This window comes from Homo sapiens, chromosome 6, assembly GCF_000001405.40.
Source record: "Homo sapiens chromosome 6, GRCh38.p14 Primary Assembly".
Lineage (NCBI taxonomy): Eukaryota > Metazoa > Chordata > Mammalia > Primates > Hominidae > Homo > Homo sapiens.
The window spans coordinates 134,474,732-134,494,775 of NC_000006.12; the positions used below are offsets into that span (position 1 = coordinate 134,474,732).

The following is a 20,044-nucleotide window of genomic DNA, read 5'->3' on the forward strand; positions in this document are numbered from 1 at the left end:
CATAAGAGTCTGCCACCTTTGGTATAGAATGAACAAGAGGCGGGAAATGTTAAAGGATTTAAATATGATTGAAAATGACTTTCCTGGAAGGTCAATCACAGTTTAAGTGGAGCTACTTTTTCTTTCACTAATGAGCTGTTTCATCCCTTGTAACTAGCATTATTTTGTCTTTGCGGTTTCCAATGGGTGTCCGCTATGTGCTATTTGGAAAGGAAAGAGAAGAAGAAATTAGGAAATTGGGTCGTGATGGGTCGGCTTCGTTATCTTGGCAGCATTTTACCAAGAAATCAGTTTTGTTTAGTCCTGGACAGGGTAGGCCATGCTGTGGTAACAAATCAACCCTGAAATTTCTGTAGCTCAGCAAGCAGTTTATTTATTGCTCACCCAGAGATGGATGGAGGCTGGCAGGGATTCGCCTTCATCCTGTGATTCAGCAATGCAGGCTCCTCCACCCGTGGTAGCGCCGTGTCAATACGTAGCTTCTCAGGTCACTGCTAGAGGGGAAGAGAAGAATGGAAAGTTGCACCAGCTCTTAACAGCCTCAACTCAGAGATGACACGTGTCTCTTCTGCTCCCAATCCCTCAGCCAGAATTAGTAATGTGGGCTGCTGAAAAATGTCAGGAGTGCATGGATATTTGGAGAGTGCTGTTTCTGCCACCTTATTTCATACCAAACCACAGAAACAAAATTGGTGACTCTTCTTAGTAAATTAGAACAGAGTATCAAAAGGATTATTAGGATCAGAGCATCTGGAATGACCAATGAGTCCATTAAGTCAGGAGAATTAGAACAGAACCATTATGAGGAATCATAATGGTCAGAATGGGAACAAACTGACCAAAGGGCTTACTGGATGAAGCTAACCAGATAGAGTGAGACCAGAGAGAAGAAGTGGCCCAGGAAGTCATAACCTCCTGTTCCTGACTTGGACTTTCTGTAAGTGTGATTCCCAACCTGGTTACTCATCAGAATCATACAAGGAACATTAGAAAAGGTAGGGTTTTAGCCTCATCTGAGGCCTATTGAATCAAAATCTCCTGAAGAATATAATATTCATATCATATATATACTATATGTATATATATATACTATATATATACTATATGTATATATATATACTATATATATACTATATGTATATATATATACTATATATATACTATATGTGTATATATATACTATATATATACTATATGTGTATATATATACTATATATATACTATATGTGTATATATATACTATATATACTATATGTATATATATACATATATATGTATAGATGTATATATACATATATATGTATATATATATGTGTATATATATATATATATACTTTAAGTCTTTAAGTTCTGGGGTACATGTGCAGAACGTGCAGGTTTGTTACATAGGTATGCACGTGCCATGGTGGTTTGCTGCAGCCATCAACCCTGTCATCTACATTAGTTATTTCTCCTAATGTCTTCCCTCCCCCAGCCCCCAACCCGCCGACAGGCTTCAGTGTGTGATGCCCCTACCCCGTGTCCATGTATTCTCATTGTTCAACTCCCACTTATGAGTGAGGACATGTGGTGTTTGGTTTTCTGTTCTTATGTTAGTTTGCTGAGAATGACGGTTTCCAGCTTCATCCATGTCCCTGCAGAGGGACATGGCTGCATAGTATTCCAAAAGCCCTTCCTCATTATTCTGATGCAGGCACTGGTCTGTAGGGTTTGAAAAGCATTGCTTAGAGGACAAGGAGGTAGAAGGTGTCCTTAGGATGAGATGCTAATGAGGGAGTGAACCTTAGAAAGGTGGAAAGACTCACACCAGTGGTCCCATGGTTGGGTGATGGTTAACATCACAAAGAGAAGTAAATTCCAGACCTGCATCATAGTACCCTGAGTAGAACTACCTCAACAATCTATCTGGTCAGATACTTAGTACCTAGATGTGGAGACCATATCTCACAGTTCTGTCAGGCAGGAGCAGTCCAAACACTTTGATTATCAGCTGTCTCTTGCTCGGGAAATTACTAGGTACCAACACTGTTATATATGCAGAGGTGTCTGAAAAATGAATGCAGATCAATTTCCAGTTCCACACAGAGCACATCTGTAAAATATGACCTTTGGATAATGGCTGGAGTGTTTACCTGCAGTATTCGTTTTTGCATGTGGCTTTCCCTAGATATGTCAGGATACAGCAGGACCAAAACCTAGGTAAGAACTAAAGTAGTAGGTAAATATTGGATCCTAAATTAAGAGTGGAGGGCAAAGCTTGGGGTGATGTCAAAGTCAATTAATGGATATTCAAATATAAAGTTACATAGCTGAGTAACAAACGCACTATATCAGAGTTGTGAAATGGAAATCAAAACCAAACTGAGCTGGACGTGGTGGCATGCACCTTGAGTCCCAGCTACTTAGGAGACTGAGGTGGGAGGACTGCTTGAGCCTAGGAGGTCGAGGCATCAGTGAGCTATGATCAAGCCACTGCACTAGGCTGGGAGCAGTGGCTCATGCCTGTAATCCCAGCACTTTAGGAGGCCGAGGCAGATGGATCACCTGAGGTCAGGAATTCGAGACCAGCCTGGCCAAAATGATTAAACTCCATCCCTACAAAAATAAGCTGTGTGTGCTTAATAAGCTGGTGGGCATCTGTAATCCCAGCTACTTGGGAGGCTGAGGCAGGAGAATTGTTTGAACCCGAGAGTCAGAGGTTGCAGTGAGCCAAGTTCGTGCCATTGCACTCCAGCCTGAGTGACAAGAGCGAAACTCCGTCTAAAAACAAAAAAAAAGCCACTGCACTCCAGCCTGGGTGACAAAGTGAGACCCTGTCTTTTTTTTGTTTTTTTGAGACGGAATCTCACTCTGTCACCCAGGCTGGAGTGCAGTGGTGCGATCTTGGCGCACTGCAACCTCCACCTCCTGGATTCAAGCGATTCTCCTGCCTCAGCCTCCTGAATAGCTGGGATTACAGGTGCTCACCACCACGCCCGGCTAATTTTTGTATTTTTAGTAGAAATGGGGTTTCACCATGTTGGCTGGGCTGGTCTGAAACTCCCTACCTCAAATGACCTGCCTGCCTCAGCCTCCCAAAGTGCTGGTATTACAGCCATGAGCCATCACGCCTGGCCTGAGACCCTGTCTTTTAAAACAAAAACAAAAACAAAAAACAAAAATTGAGCAAAGACAAATGAATTATCTGGAATAATGAACTCCAGGAGGAAACATGAACATCTGACTAAATTCTAGTTGAAGTCCTGCTGGTTTGCAGTTGCTTTGACATCACTAGCACATGCCTTCCTACTCCATAATTTTAAAGATACTGCTTGAAGCACAACTGACTGTAGAATGTGCTCTCTTTGTCTTACGGTTTTCTCTGAAAGACCTTGCTTTATACAACTGCTGTTTGTTGTAGCCACAGTCATGCTTCATTCAGACAACAGCAGTGGGTTTTCAAAGTGATTCATCTGTTTTCCTTGTACTTACCCTCTTATTTGCTTCAGGGTCCTGCATGTGGCTGGCTGGCCGAGCTTTAAGAGTAGGGTTTGGGTAATATCTGCTTCTGAGCCATGTTTCAGGACTGTGGATATTTTTAAGCTAAAGGGGAGAAGTCCAATGGAAGACATGCAGGGAGCTTTTCATCTACTTGAAGGAACAGACTTGCTCTGTATTGCTCCAAAGAGGCCAATATTTTGAAATTCCAATGAGGTAGGCTCAAAATGAAACATCCTGAACATCTGAGCTGTCCAACAATGATGCCGGCTTCTGGGGCATTACTCAGCTACTTGTGCTCCACCGAGTTCTTTTCTTTTTCTTTTTCTTTTCTTTTCTTTTTTTTTTTCTGACACGGAGTCTTGTTCTGTCGCCCAGGCTGGAGGGCAGTGGTGTGATCTCGGCTCACTGCAACCTCCGCCTTCCAGGTTCAAGAGATTCTTCTGCCTCAGCCTCCAGAGTAGGTGGGATTACAGGCGCTCGCCACCATGCCTGGCTAATTTTTATATTTTCAGTAGAGACAAGGTTTGGCCATGTTGGCCAGGCTGGTCTCAAACTTCTCACCTCAGGTGTTCTGCCTGCCTCGTCCTCCCAAAGTGCTGGGATTACAGGCTTGAGCCACAGCGCCCAGTTGAGTTCTGAATGTTGAGGCTCCTCAGATTTCAGTTTGGACCTCTCTTCTCTTTTACACACTTTTTCTTCAGCACCTCATCAAGCTCTGTTGCTTTAAATGCCATGTATATGTCATAATGAAACCATTGTTTTCTCCAGTCAAATCTCTCTTGCCTTATATATTCAACTACCTCCATGACCTTCCACTTGAATGTTTCATGAGCATCTTGAACTTAACACAGGAAAAATAGAACCCTTGATTTCTTCTTCATCCTCTTCTGCCCCAAAGTCTTATTTTCCTCCAACCTGCCCTAGATTAGTCAATGGCACCAACACCTACCTGTCACTTAGCCCCAAACTTCTGCTTCTCTCTGCCTGTCACACTCAAACCACCTCAAGCCAATCACCTCCAGACTTGAACAAGGAACACAAGTGTCTCACTCATTGAGTTCCCTCAAACCACTGGCACACAGTCAATTCCACCTAAATATTTGGTGAATGAATGAATGATGTAGAATGATCATCTGAAAGAAATAATAATGGCCCTTCTAACTTAATGAGTCTCTACCATGTGATAGGTGCTTTAAATATATAATTCTATCCCTAATGACAACACTTCAAAGTAGGTAGGCAAGTTAAAAAGCTCACAGAACAGAGAGTTTTGTATGGTTTTGCTTTTAAGTTTTATTAAGTGCTTTGTATGATTTGTTTTTTTTTTTTTTTTTTTGAGACAGGGTCTCACTTTGTCACCCAGGCTGGAGTGCAGTGGTGCAATCACAGCTCATTGCAGCCTCAACCTCCGAGCTCAAGCGATCCTCTTGCCACAGCCGCCTGAGCAGCTGACACCATAGGCAGGGGCCACCATGCCTGGCTAAATTTTAAATTTTTTGTAGAGACAGGGTCTTACCATATTGCCCAGGCTGGCCTTGAACTCCTGGCCTCAAGTGATCCTCCTGCCTCAGCCTCCCAAAGTAGTAGGTAGGATTACAGGCATGACCACTGTGCCCGGTGTGTATGACATTTTTTATAGTATACATAGGCATAGTGCTAAGTGCTTTATATATATATAAAATCTCATTTAATTTTTACCAGCCACATACAGGGTAGCTTTTATGCACCATTTCGTTGATAAGAAAACTGAGGCTAGTAGAAATTAAGCAATTTGACTTAGCTAAAATAGCCAGGAAGTGATGGGACTGATATTTAAACCCTGGTCTATTTGGTTCCTACAGCTGTATATTTCCCCGCTATATGATAAAGCAATCTCTAACAAGGATACTACTGAAGGGATGCCAACATTTTACAAATTGTTGTAGTAGATGATCTTTTGGTTTCTTCAAATTGGAATTTTTATAGTTATATTGTGCAAACGGTCCTTTTCTCTATTTCTTTAGATTCACTTCATTAGACATCTCTACCATTTTAAAGAAAGTAAAAATAACTTTCCAAATTTCATAGAAAATCTAGAAATGCTCTAAACCCACACAAAAATTGCAACCGATGTGACAGTAAAGAGCTCCTTCCAGCCGGGCATAGTGGCTCACGCCTGTAATCCCAGCAATTTGGGAGGCTGAGGCAGGCGGATCACTTGAGGCCAGGAGTTCGAGACCAGCCTGGCCAACATGGTGAAACCCTGTCTCTACTAAAAATACAAAAATTAGCCAGGTATGCTGATGCACGCTTATAATCTCAGCTACTCAGGAGGTTGATACAGGAGAATCGCTTGAACCCAGGAGCCGGAGGTTGCAGTGAGCAGAGATAGTGCCACTGTACTCCAGCAGCCTGGGTGACAAAGCAAGGCTCTGTAAAAAATAAAATAAAACAAAAATAAATTTAAAAAACACCTTCTTTTATTCTTTTCTGTATGCTTTGGCACAAGTCAAACTAGAATTCATATCTTCTTAATACCTAAACTAAGTTAACCAGCCTGGCAATGGTTCCCAAAGCCATGCCAGCAATTACACAGTGCAGGATGTCACCCCTGGGCTGACTCACCACACAGAAGACCTAGTAACTTGAGGAGTATTGTTCTCAAAGATCCAAATTTGCTGAAATCTATTCTAAGTACTCCTGAATTAAAAAAAGATCGTATTACAATTAGTGTACCTTTAAAAAAAGAAATTCCCTGTCTATCTGTATATAGCTCCTCTGATTCCTGAGTTCTACTCCTTATAGTTATACAATTATGTGGAAATTATTTCATGTTAACTTCTGTATTCCAACATCATTTTTAAGAAGGAGGTTAGTAAAGGTGCCCACTAGACAAACTTCTGCAATAGGAAAAGAGCACTGGGATAGACAAGTAAAACAACAGAATAGAAGCAACGGGAAACAATGTCCATAAGCAATTCAAGCTGGGAGTGATAAGCCTACCTGTGAAGTCAGGAGATGAAGTTTGAGGAAGAAGCAACAAGAAACATTGATTCCTCTCTACCTATTGCAAATGGTCTTGGGGCTCCTAAGCATAAATGTTACTTTTCCCTGCAGTGAGCCTGTATGAAGCTCTCAGATAATCACTTCAAATTGCTCTTTCAATTCACAAGCCTGCAGCATTCTGAAATATTTCCAGACATTATTTGCACCTATATAAGGATAGCAGATACTTATCCAGTGCCTACCTGGTGCTATTGTAGGTCGATTTGGGATTTGATTCAAGGATTCTGGCTCCATACTCTGCTCTATCCACTACACTGAACTGCCTCTCCATGAGAAACTATTTTAATAAGTCCCCCAGTTAGAAGAACTCATCCATCTGCAACTCACACTGGTGCGAAAGTTGAGCAGCAAATCAGATCAGGAAGTGCCATCTCCACCACCAACAAGGGGCCCTAGAGTCACCAGCACCAGTCCCTGCCTAACTGAAACCTAGAACTTGAGAAAGAAATTCACAGATATGGCTCATTGCAAGGGTGAAGGGAGGATGGTAGGAAGAGTGAGACGTCAGAGCTCTTTTTGAGTGGGGGGAGGAAGGCCGCCCCCATGCCTGGGAGGTGGATGGAACTGTAGAAGAGGAATCTTGAGATGGGTAGAGTTCAAATGGGTGAGAGCTTTAACTTACCCTCTCCTAGTTTAGGAAGTGCTCCTAAACGTGTCCCCAGTTTCCAAAATAGGGATAGTTGCTTTGAGCTGCTGACTGGTGGTTTTGCTTTGTGGACATGGAGAGGAGAGGATGGCCAGGAAAGGGAGATTCTTCCCACCCCTTTGCTTCCGTGGTTCCCATGCACCTATAGGGTGGACTAAGACTCCGTACCTGGAAGATGTTTCAATCGTGAGAGAAGGGCAGGTAAAAGGAAGAGCACAGACCAGAATGACGTAACATTCTGCCTGCACCCACAGGTCAGAGCAGCTTTCTGTGAACTTGAATGTGATTGTGAGTCACCTGGGGATCTTGTTAAAATGCAGATTCTGGTTCAGCATATCTGGGGTAGGGCCTGACACTCTGCATTTTTAACAAGCTCCCTGGTGCGGCTGATCCTAGGGTCTATGTATAGACCATGCTTTCAGTAGCAAGGAGTTAGAGGACACGCCAGCTGGAAGGCAGAGGGATCTTATACACCTGGGTTAGGCATATATTTTCATTACTGTTTGCTGCATATTCCTGAGAGGACAGAATGTGGGGTGACTGTCCTTCAGTCTTTGATCTCCCCGCTGCACAGTTTGAATTAAGGCAGATAGCACTTTCATCTGGCCCTAGGGGCATCTGTCGGGGCCCTGGGACAGTTACCTGTACTTTTTGTCAACATTAATGCTGTCCTCCATTTCTGTGAATTGTGGAGAATATGGTCTTTTAAAGGATGCTAGAGGCAAAGCTAAAAGGACAATGCTAGAACTAGTCATTTTTTTTTTTTTTTGTCTCATTGCCCCAGAAGGTCAGGAAACTTGAGCAACAGTGTGAACAAGTCCACAGCTCCAGTTTCCCCAGGGCTACCAGGGGAAACACTCGAGGCTGTTCACCCTTAGCTAGCTTAAGCTCTGGTGAGGGGAATCATGTATGAATTTCACCTCCTTAAAACATCAGTGAAGGCGGTCGTTATTTGGATCGTCCAAACTGTTTCCATGAGGAATGGAATGGAATCAGGAAACCTAAATTTAGATTAGGTGCAATGAAACTGTCTTCCTGAGACAGAAAAAGTAATTATAGAAAGGCATTTCAAAGAAAAGTCTTGCTAATGTTTCTCGGGACCTTCCTCAGGGACAGATTACGGGGAGTGGAACCTGCCTGGATAGCCCATTACTTTTTTTTCCCAAGGCAGCCCCATGACCTGCTAGCTACCACAGGGAGCCAAGACAATGAGTGGAATCAGGCCGTGCGTGGGGCCAAGATAAACTGTGCTAATGTCCTGACCGTTCTGGATGGCTTAAGGCCTGGCTGCCGCCTCTGTGAGCACTGACGCCCTATACTCTGCCCCGTCTTCCTGGCCAGATAAGTCTCTCCCACATGTGACCACCCCCAAGACCACAACTAGCAAGACAGAAGCCATGCGTTATTTTACTAAATAACAACATTCTTGGAAAATTTCCCATATCTTATTTTCCCTTCAAAAAAATTTTTTGAACATGGCTCAAAACTCAAAACTGGCCAGGTGCAGTGGCTCACGCCTGTAATCCCAACACTTTGGGAGGCCAAGGTGGACAGATCACCTGAGGTCAGGAGTTGGAGACCAGCCTGATTAACATGGGAAAACCCTGTCTCTGCTACTAAAAATACAAAAATTAGCTGGGCATGGTGGCATGGTGGCATGGTGGTGCACACCTGTAATCCCAGCTACACAGTAGGCTGAGGCAAGAGAATCACTTGAACCCAGGAAGTGGAGGTTGCAGTGGGCTGAGATTGCACCACTGTACTCCAACCTGGGTAACAGAGTAAGACTCTGTCTTAAAAAAAAAAAGAAAAAAAGAAAAATCAAAACTCTCTAAGGCCGGGCGTGGTGGCTCACGCCTGTAATCTCAGCACTTTGGGAGGCCGAGGCAGGAGGATCACTTAAGGTCATGAGTTCAAGACCAGCCTGGCCAACATAATGAAACCCCATCTCTACTAAAAATACAAAAATTAGCTGGCTGTGGTGGCATGCACCTATAGTCTAAGCTACTCGGGAGGCTGAGACAGGAGAGTCGTTTGAACCCTGGAGGTGGAGGTTGCAGTGAGCTGAAATCATGCCACTGCACTCTAGTCTGGGCAACAGAGCAAGACTCTAAAAAAAAATAATAAAAATAAAAATCTGTCTAAGAAGGTACACTGGGACATTTTGCCCTTCTCTGTTCTATCCACCAAATTCCTCCTTTGCCCACTCTACATTATTATTTGAGTTTCTGTTTATCTTTACACTATTTTGTTATACACATATGAATATTCTTCTATTTCTCTCTTATACAAAAGATATGGTTTTTCTGTTCCACACCTTGCCTTTCTTTTCACTTAATATATCATAGAGCTTTCTCCATGTCCATATGTGACATCCTTCTCACTCTTTTTGACAGCTGCAGATTATTCTAATACCTGAATGTATTAGATTTTATGCAACCAGTCTCCTAGTTGTTGGACTCTTGAGTAGTTTTCAGTCTCTTTTATTGCAAACAATGCTGCCAGAAGCATCCTTTTTCATGTGCTATTTTTTATGTGTACAGGTGTAACTAATGGCTAGATACTGAGACATGATGTTGGGGGATTAAAGGGTAAATGCATCTGTAATGTTGATAGCTATTGCCAGTCTCTCTTCCTGGAACGTTGTAGCATTTTATTCCCCCACCAATAAATGTTTGAGGGTACCTGTTCCTACACAGCCTTGCCCAAGGAAGTGTATCACACTTCTGGATTTTGCCAATCCAGCAGATGACAAGTGTTTTCTTAGTGTGGTTTTAATATTTGATTTCTTTTTTTTTCTTTTTTCTTTTTTCTTTTTTTCTTTTTTTTTTTTTTGAGACAGGGTCTCTCTCTGTTGCCCAGGCTGGAGTGCAGTGGCACTGTCTTGGCTCACTGCAAACTCAACCTCCCAGGTTCAAATGATTCTCATGCCTCAGCCTCCCCAGTAGCTGAGATTACAGGCCTTGTATGTGTGCCACCATGGCCAGCTAATTTTTGTATTTTTAGTAGAGATGGGGTTTCACCATGCTGGCCTGTCTGGTCTCGAACTCCCGGCCTCAAATGATCCGCCCACCTCAGCCTCCCAAAGTGCTGGGATTATAGGGGTGAGCCACCATGCCAGCCTGATTTCTTATCATGAGTAAAACAGAATATTGTCATACCTTTAAGGGCCATTTGTGAACTTTTGTGTCATGTCCTTTCCCCATTCCTATTACTGTAGGTTTTAAAAATCTTGATTTCTGGGAGCTATTAGGTACTTAGGAGATCAGCGTTTGTTTACAAATTGCAATGTTTTGACTAGTTTTTCTTTTGTCTTTGGATTTTGTCTGTGTTTGTGTTTTTGTTGTTGTTGTTTGCCATGTTTAAGGTTTTTCTTTTTATGCATTTGATTTAATCATTATTTTCTCTTTAGGTTTTGAAAGTGGAATGATAGGTAGATAGATCTTCCCAACTGTAGTTCTATAATAAAATGTATCTATATTTTCTTAAATATTTATTTGATTTTATTTTTTCCATTTAAATTTTTTATCCATTTGGTATTTATCGTGATGTATGTTATGAACTATGGATCCAGCATTGCCTTTTACTCAATTGTCTTCATGCAATTTATTAAAGATGATTTGAGATGCCATCTTTTCCAGTTCAATTTCCTACATGTGTTTGTCCCTGTTTTTGGAATTTCTACTCTGTCCACTGGTGTCTCCATTCATAGGTCAATATTAAAGTGTTTTAATCAATGAAGTCTTATATGCAATATCTGGAGATTTTCAAGGTTTGTTGGCTATTCTTGCTTGGATTTTGTTAGCTTCATTAAGTAGAATGAACATTGTAATGATGTTGAGTCTTTGCATTAAGAAACATGAGATACATTGTTTCATTTGTCTAAGTATACTTTTCTTCTCCTTCAACAGTATTTTAAAGTTTTTCTTAGGTACAGGTGTTGCCCATTTCATGTTAAGCTTACTTCTAGCTATTTTATCTTGCTTATTGCAATTATAAATAGCAAGATTATCTGTTTTTCTGTATATCGTTTGCAAATGTGAAGGCTACCTACTTTTTCATATTAATTTAAATCTTGCTACTTTACAAATATTGCAGTTTTATTCAATTCTCTTATGTGTTTTATAAGACAAATCAAATATTATACGATTTGCAAATAGTTTTATATCTATATTAATTTTTTTTCCTGCATTCATTTTTTATTTTGTTCTTTTCTTTAAAAAAAATTTTTATTCTGTGTGTGTGTGTGTGTGTGTGTGTTTTAAGTTCCAGGGTATATATGCAGGATGTGCAGGTTTGTTAAATAGGCTAAATGTGTGCCATGGTGGTTTGCTGCACTTATGAACCCATCACCCAGGTATTAAGCCCAGCATGCATTAGCTCTTTTCCCTAATGCTCTCCCCCAGCCCCACCCTGCCCCAACAGGCCCCAGTAAGTGTTGTTCCCCTCCCTGTGTCCATGTATTCTCATTGTTCAGCTCCTACTTATAAGTGAGAACATGTGGCATTTGGTTTTCTGTTTCTGTGTTAGTTTTCTGAGGATAATGGCTCCCAGCTTCATCCATGTCCCTGCAAAGGGCATGATCTCATTCCTTTTTATGGCTGCATAGTATTCCACGGTGCATATGTACCACATTTTTTTTAATCCAGTCTATCATTGATGGGGATTTGGGTTGATTCTATATCTTTGCTGTTGTGAATAGTGCTGCAGTGAACATACATGTGCATGTGTCTTTAGAACAGAATAATTTATATTCCTTTGGATACATACCCAGTAATGAGACTGCTGGGTCAAATGGCATTTCTGGTTCTAAATCTTTGAAGAATCACCACACTGCCTTCCACAATGGTTGAACTAATTTACATTCCCACCAACAGTGTAAAAGTGTTCCTATTTCTCTGGAACATCACCAGCATCTGTTGTTTCTTGACTTTTTAATAATCACCATTCTGACTGGCACAAGTTGGTATCTCATTGTGGTTTTGATTTGCATTTCTCTAATGATCAGTGACGTTGGGCTATTTTTCACAGATTTCTTGGCCACATGTATGTCTTTTTTTGAGAAGTGTCTGTTCATATCTTTCACGTATTTTTTAATGGGGTTGTTTGTTTTCTTCTAAGTTTGCTTAAGCTCCTTGTAGATTCTGGATATTAGGCCTTTGTCAGGTGGATTAAGAGTTAGTTTTCCTCTTCCTTTTCAGTTCTTACACTACCGATTTTCTTCTGTTATCTAATGGCGAGAGTTAACACCTCCAATGAAACATTAAATACCAGTGGTATAGTGGGCATCCTTGTGTTGTTCTGGGATTTCTATTTATATATCTTTTTCATGTTAGCAAAATACTTTTCAAGTTCTATTTTATTGAATTTTAAAAATCAAGAATGGGCATTCTGTTGTATCAAATATCTTTTTAGTATTTGCAGAGATGATTTGTGAATTTTCTCTTTAAATCTCCTTAAATTTGACAAATTGTATCAATTGACTTCATGATGCCAAGTATTCTTAGATTTACAGAGTAAACCCCACTTGATTATGGTATATTATTTTTATTATTATTATTATTTGAGACTGGGTCTTGCTCTCTGTTGCCCAGACTAGAGTGTAGTGGCATGATCATAGCTCACTGCAGCCTTTATCTCAAGCTAGCTTCCTGCCTCAGCCTCCCAAGTAGCTAGGACTACAGGTGCATGCAATCATGCCTGGCTAATTTTTTTTTTTTTTTTTTTTTTAGAGATGGAGTTTTGTTACATTGCCCAGGCTGATCTCAATCTCCTGGCCTCAAGCAATCCTCCTGCCTTGGCCTCCCAGTGTGCTGGGGTTACAGGCATGACCCATTGCACTTGGCCAGTGTATTATTTTTATAAATGTGTTATTTGATTCTGACTGTCATCATATTTGAGATTCTTCTGTAGTTTTCTTTTTTATGTAAATTTTAAATCATATTTTGTTATTAATATTATACTTGCTTCATACAAAGAATTTTGCTCTGGTCAATCTCAATAGCATTTAAATTGCATGCTCTTTAAAGATTTGATAAGATTCTCCTTGGAAACCTGACGTGGTTCTACACATTTTACGTTCTAGCCAGTAAAGGAATCAGTGAGGCTGTTATTTGACCTAAAATTTTGATTTTTGCCAAAGCCTATCTTGCAGAAACAGGTATCATCAGAGTCACATACTGAAAGCCAAAATTAAAGAACAAATCTAGAAAGTGGCAAGCAATAAAATGACACATATATATAAGAGAACAGTAATTCAGTTAATAGCTGATCTTATGAGAAACCACAGAGGCCAGCAGGGTAGAACAACATCTTCAAAGTGCTTCAAGAAAAAGAAAGCTGTCAACTGGGAATTCTATACCCTTCAGAAATGAAGGAGAAAGAAAAACATTCTCAGATGAAAGAAAACTAAGACGATTTGATGCAAGCAGGCCAACACTATGAGAAATGCTAAAGGTAGTTCTTGAGGTTGAAGAGAAATAAAAAGAGATGGAAACTCAGAACCATGAATAAGAGTGAAGAGCACTAGAACTAATAACCATCTGGGTGAACAGAAAATGCTTTTTTTTTTTCTCTTTTTTTTTTTTTTTTTGAAACGGAGTTTTGTTGCCCAGGCTGGAGTGCAATGGCACAATCTTGGCTCGCCACAACCTCTCTGCCTCCCAGGCTCAAGCAATTCTCCTGCCTCAGCCTCCTGAGTAACTGGGATTACAGACATGAGGCACCATGCCTGGCTAATTTTGTATTTTTAGTAGAGACAGGGTTTCTCCATGTTGGTCAGGCTGGTCTTGGACTCCCAACCTCAGGTGATCCTCCTGCCTTGGCGTCCCAAAGTGCTGGGATTACAGGCATGAGCCACCGTGTCTGGCTAGAAAATGCTTTTTTTTTTTTGCTTTTTTATCTTAATTTTGTATAGTCAATATAACTGTTTAAAGCAATCTATATCATTATCTTGTGGGGTTTCTAAGATATCCAGATGTGATACATGTAACAACTAAGGATAAAGGATTAGGGGGAAGTCAATATGGATCTTACGGAGTTGTAAGTCTTCTACATTTTGTATGAAACCATAATGCATAAATGTAAGTGGACTGTAAGAAGTCCAATTCCTAAAGCAATCACCTACATAAATAATGCCAAGAAGTATAGCTAAAAAGCTAATAGGAAGAATAAACTTTAATTCCAAGTATCTAAAAAAATAGGTAACAGGAACAAAGAAACACAATATAGAAGGAACAAATACAAAATAATAAAATCGTAGGCCCAATCATAAATATATCAATAAATACATGAATGCATTTAATCTAAACACTCCAATGTAATCTAAACACTCCATTTAGAATATAGCGATAGTATGGATAAAAAGCAAGACCAAAATATATGCCATTTATAAGAGTTGCACTTTAAATATATAGAGAAAAATAGATGGAAAGTATATGGGTGGAAAAAGACTTACCATGAAAACAGAAGGTGTAAGAAGACTGGTGTAGCTATATTAAAATAAGATATAAACAAAATTTTAAAGATAAAAGTATCACCAGAGATAAAGAGGGACATTCTATAATAATAAATTTGGCAATCCACTAGAAATACATAACAGTAATAAATGTTTATGTGCCTAATAACAGAACTTAAAAATACTGGAAACAAAAATTGCCATTTCTAAGTTATAATTAGAGATTTTAATGCCATTCTCCCAAAGATAAAAGAACAGCTAGACAAATTAAATCAGAAACACATAGCTCTTTACAAAATTATCAGCCATCTTGATCTACTCGATATTTATAGAATCCTACACCCAACATTTGAAAGAATACAAAAGATGCATTTTTTTCAAAAGCAATGTGGTATATTTGCCAAGATGGATAATATATTCAGCCATAAAACAAGTTTCAGTGAAGGATTCTAAAATAATGAAATCATACTTAGTATGCTCTTTGATCATGATGGGTTTAAATTTGAAACAAATAGAAACAAGATATCTAGGAAAACCCCAAACATTTGGAAATTAAACAACATCTCCTAAGTAACTAATGAGTTAAAGAAAAAAATTGCAAGAAGAAGTTAGGAAATATTTTGAACTGAGTGATAAAAATGCAACACACCAAAATTTGGGGGATGCAGCTAAAACAGTGATTGAGACAAATCTATAGGTAGATCTTTTTCTTTCTTCTTAGATCTTTTTCTTTTATGAAGAGGTATTAATTTATACATATGAGATGTATAAATTAAAGAAAAACAAAAATATCTAAAATCAATGATTGACATTTCAACCTTATGAAATTACAAAAAGAAGCACAAAAATTAAGCCCAAATAAGTAGAAGGGAGAAAATAATAAAGGTAGCAGAAATCAATGAAAGGAAAATTGGACAAGCAATAGAGACAGACAAAAACAAAAACTTGTTCTTTTAAAATGTTAATAAAATTCTTAAAACTCTAGCCAAAAGACACAAGTGCAAAATTACCAATATCAGAAAACGGGGCATCACTTCAGATTCTACAAACATTAAAAAGATCATAAGAGAATGCTACGTGTAGCTTTTGCCAACAAATTTGACAATTTAGATAAAATAGACAAATTTCTTAAGAAAAACAGATTACCAAATCAGAACCCCCCAAAATTAAGAACTTAAATATCCTTATATTAATTATAGAAACGCAGTTCATAATTAAGGAGCTTTGAACAGAGATAACTCCAGGCTCAGAGGTCTTCACCGGTGATTTTCATTAAATGTTTAAGAAATGAAATAGTTCAAAACAAACTCTTTCAGAAAACAAAGGAAGAGGGAATAATTAATTCGTTAAATGCAGCTAGCATTATCCTGATACTAAAACAAAAACATCACGAGAAATGACATTATGTTGATACACCAAATAAACATAAGTGGTAAATTCCCTATCAAAATTTTGGCAAATCAAATCCAGTAATACGTATAAAAAGGGCAACACATTAAACAAGTAGGGTTTAACAATGGAAAATAAATCAATGTATTTCACCACATTAACAGAGCAAAGACCAGAAAAATGATTATTTCAATTGACGTAGAAAAAAAAAGCATTTTATAAAAATTCAACACTCATTTATAATAGAAACTCTTAGCAAGGTAGCAAGGTAGGAATAAAAGGTGATTTTCTCCTAAATCTGATTTAAGAATACCTATGAATACTTAATGGATAACATTATGCTGAATATTGGAAGACAGAATACTTTCTCCTAAGATCAAAAATGAGGGAAAGATATCTACTTTTTACGGAGTTACTCAATATTTCACTGGAGTCTTCACCAATGTAATATACAAAAAAAGTAATAAAAAACATATAAACTGGAAAAGAAGTAAAATTCTATTTGTTTACATATAAAACGATTTTGTACATAGAAAATTTTAAAGAATCTACAAAAAGTTACTAGAACTAATAAGTGAATGCAAAATGGTAAGACACAAGGTCAATAAACAAAATTTATATTTCTGTAGACTAACAGTGAACAATTAGAAAACTTAAAAAAATTCCATTTATAATAGCATAAAAATACTTGGGGATTGTTACGGTCTGAATGTTTGTGTCCTCCTTCCCTGCCACAAATTTGTATGTTGAAACTTAATTTCCAATGCGACAGCGTTAAGAGGTGAGGCCTTGAGGAGGTGACTAGATCATGAGGGTGGAGCCCTTATGAATAGGACTAGTGTTCTTATAAAAGAGGCCCAAGAAAGCTTGTTTACCTCTTCCATTATGTAAGAATGCAGCAAGAAGTCACTGTCTACAAGGAACTAGACATTTCTGGCACCTTGATCTTGAACTTCCCAGCCTCCAGGAGTCTGAGAAATAAATTTCTGTGGTTTACAAGCTACTCAGTTTGTGGAATTTTGTGATAAGAGCCTAAATGGACTAAGACATGAATTTATCAAAAGATGGTAAGAACTTTACACTGAAAACCACAAAATCTTGCTGAGAAAAGCAAAAGCAGACATAAATATAGACATACATATTTGTGGATTAGAAGATTCAACATTGTTAAGACAGCAATTCTTCCTAAATTGATTTAAAGATTCAATGTTATACCAATAAAAATCCTAATAGGCTTGTTTGAAAAAATTAACAAGCTGCTTATGAAATTTACAAGGAGAACCAAAGGCAAAGAATAGCAATAATAATTTTTTAAATGAAGAACAAAGCTGGAGGACATAGCCGGGCATGGTGGCTTACGTCTGTAATCCCCACACTTTGAGAGGCCAAGGTAGGTGGATCATTTGAGGCCAGGAGTTTGAGACCAGCTTGGCCAACACGGTGAAACCCTGTCTCTATTAAAAATACAAAAATTAACCAAGTGTGGTGGCACACACCTGTAATCCCAGCTACTCAGGTGGCAGAGGCAGAAGAATTGCTTGAACCTGGAAGGCAGAGGCTGCAGTGAGCTGAGACTGTGCCACTGCACTCCAGTCTGGGGGACAGAGCGAGATTATCTCAAAAAAAAAAAAAAATCAAAATTAGAGGATATATATCTCCAAGTGGAAAAACATGAACTGTTTCTCCGCTGCTCACCCACCATAACAGTCAACACAGAAGACTTCTGTGGCCAAATATGTGATTTCTTCCCACCAACAAGCAAGCAATCAATTCTGCAGTGTACACCAGCTGGGTGTCCTCTAATTCAATTCAGTTCTAATACTACTTACCTGAAGGTAGCATCAGATCACACAGATTGAGAATTAGGTCCCTCAAGACTGAGTCCCATTTTCAATGCTAATCACACACCCCAGGTGTTTTACCTGTGCTTTTGACCCATCAAATAGAAATTGGAGTTCCCATCCTCCACCCCTTGGATTCAGTTAATTTTCTAGTGTGACTCAAAGAACTCAGGGAAATATTTGTTTATCAGTTTATTACAAAGGACATTACAAAGGATATAGATGAAGAGATGCATATGAAGTATGGAGGAGGGGGCATGGAGCTTCCATGCCCTCCCAGGAACCTCCACGTGTTCAGCTATCCAGAAGCTCTCTGAACACTGCCTTTTTGGGCTTTTACAGAGGTTTTATTACATAGGCATGATTGATTAAACTAAGCCATTGGTGATCAACTTAACTGTCAGCCCCTTTCTTTTCCCCAGAGGTTATGGGGTAGGCTGAAAGTCCCAATCCTATAATGATTTCTTGGTCTTTCTTGTAACCATCCCAATCCTATAATGATTTCTTGGTCTTGCCAGTGACCAGTCTCCATCTTGAAGCTACATAGGGGCTGTCAGTCATCAGTCAACTCATTAGTGTACAAAAGGACATCGCTTTGGAGATTCTAAAAATTTTAGGAGGAAATAGATCTGAAACCAAATAGATATTTCACATTATCACAATACGTAATTTCAGAAGTTATGATAAAACTACATTATTCAATACAGTGTGTTATTGGTATAAAGCTAGACAAATAGATGAATAGAACAGAATAGAAAATCTGGAAATAGACCCACACTTATATGATTGATTAGTTTGCAATAAAGGTGCCAAGTAATGCAGTGTGGGAGGGATAGTCTTTTACAAGTGCTGAAATAATTATACATCTCTATGGATTAATAAAAAATTAACCTTGACCCTTACCTCATACTGTAAGCAAAAAGTAACTCAAAATGAATCATAAACCTAAATAAAAAAAGCTAAGACAATAAAACTTATAGATAAAAACATAGGAGAAAGTCTTCGTGACATTCAGTTAATCAGAGTTTTCTTAAGGAGGACATGAAAAGCACTGATCGTAAGACAACATTGACAAAATGGACTTTTGCAAAATTAAAAGCCTATACTTTTAGAAAGATACAATGAAGAATGTAAAAAGGCAAGTTGTAGATGGAGAGAAAATATTTGCAAAGCATATGTCTGTCAAAGGGCTTGTGTCCAGGATCTATAAAAAAACTTACAATTCCATAGTAAGAAGGCAAGCACAATGAAAAATTTGGCAAAAAGATTTGAACAAACTCTTCACACAAGGAGACATACGGATGGCAAATAAGCATATGAAAACGTACTCAACATCTCTAGTCAACAGGGAAATGCAAATTAAAACCACAGCAAGATCCTACTACACACTCACTAGAATGACTAAGGTTAAAAAGACTGCTAGTATCAAGCGCTGGTGAGGAATGTGGAGTAACCCATACAGTTTAGTGGAAATGCAAAATGTTAACAGTCTTTTCTAGAAAGCTGACAACCCCAAATATTGGCAAACATTTAGGAGGGAACTACACCTCTCATTCATTGCTGGTGGAAGTATATAATGATACAGTCACTTTGGAGAACTGTTTGTTAGTTTTTAATAAAACTAAACATGTCAGGACTCAGCAATTCTACTCCTATGTATTTACCAAGAGAAACAAAAATATAGATCTACAAGAAGACTCGTACAAGAACATTTATAATCCTAAGCTGGGGAAAAAAGCCCAGATGTCCATTAACAGGAGAAGGGATAAACAGTGACATTCATACAAAAGAATATTGCGTGCCTGTATCAAAACATCTCATGTACCCCATAAATATATACATCTACTAGGTACCCCCAGAATTTTTTTAAATAAAAAAGGAAAAAAAAAAGAATACTACCCAGCCACAAAAAAATGAAGAACTACTCATACATACATATGGATGAATCTCACAGACTAATGCTGTATGAAGGTGAACACATGATTTCATTTACTGTATATGAAGTTTAAGAAAAGGCACCGTTAATATATTGTTATATAAATCAGAACAGTTGTTGTCTATGAAGGAACTCACCGGAAAAGGGTGCAAGGAAACTTTTTTGAAGCCATTGAACTATTCTGTCATGACAAGGCTGTTGGTTACATTGGTATATACATTTGTCAAAACTCATCAAACTGTACACTTAAG

The 20,044-nt window shown here is 38.7% G+C and overlaps 2 long non-coding RNA genes across 5 annotated transcripts in view, besides 1 other annotated feature; one reads left to right on the plus strand and one right to left on the minus strand.

Moving 5' to 3' along the window:
• CT69 (cancer/testis associated transcript 69) overlaps positions 1–4,166 on the minus strand; it is a 49,868-nt gene extending 45,702 nt beyond the window's left edge. The window contains exons 1-2 of the long non-coding RNA NR_125852.1: positions 3,472–4,166; positions 385–494 (exon numbers count right to left, since the gene is read on the minus strand). This is a non-coding gene — a long non-coding RNA (cancer/testis associated transcript 69). The remainder of the gene's footprint in view (positions 1–384; positions 495–3,471) is intronic.
• LINC01010 (long intergenic non-protein coding RNA 1010) overlaps positions 1–20,044 on the plus strand; it is a 66,305-nt gene that overhangs the window by 37,016 nt on the left and 9,245 nt on the right. The window lies entirely within an intron of this gene.
• Positions 12,897–13,108: a silencer, noted in NCBI's record as "fragment chr6:134808766-134808977 (GRCh37/hg19 assembly coordinates)". NCBI's record gives its function as "represses an EF-1alpha promoter that drives an FKBP-Casp9 reporter gene in an ReSE screen in K562 erythroleukemia cells {active_cell/tissue: K562}" and the evidence as "EXISTENCE:reporter gene assay evidence [ECO:0000049][PMID:32094911]".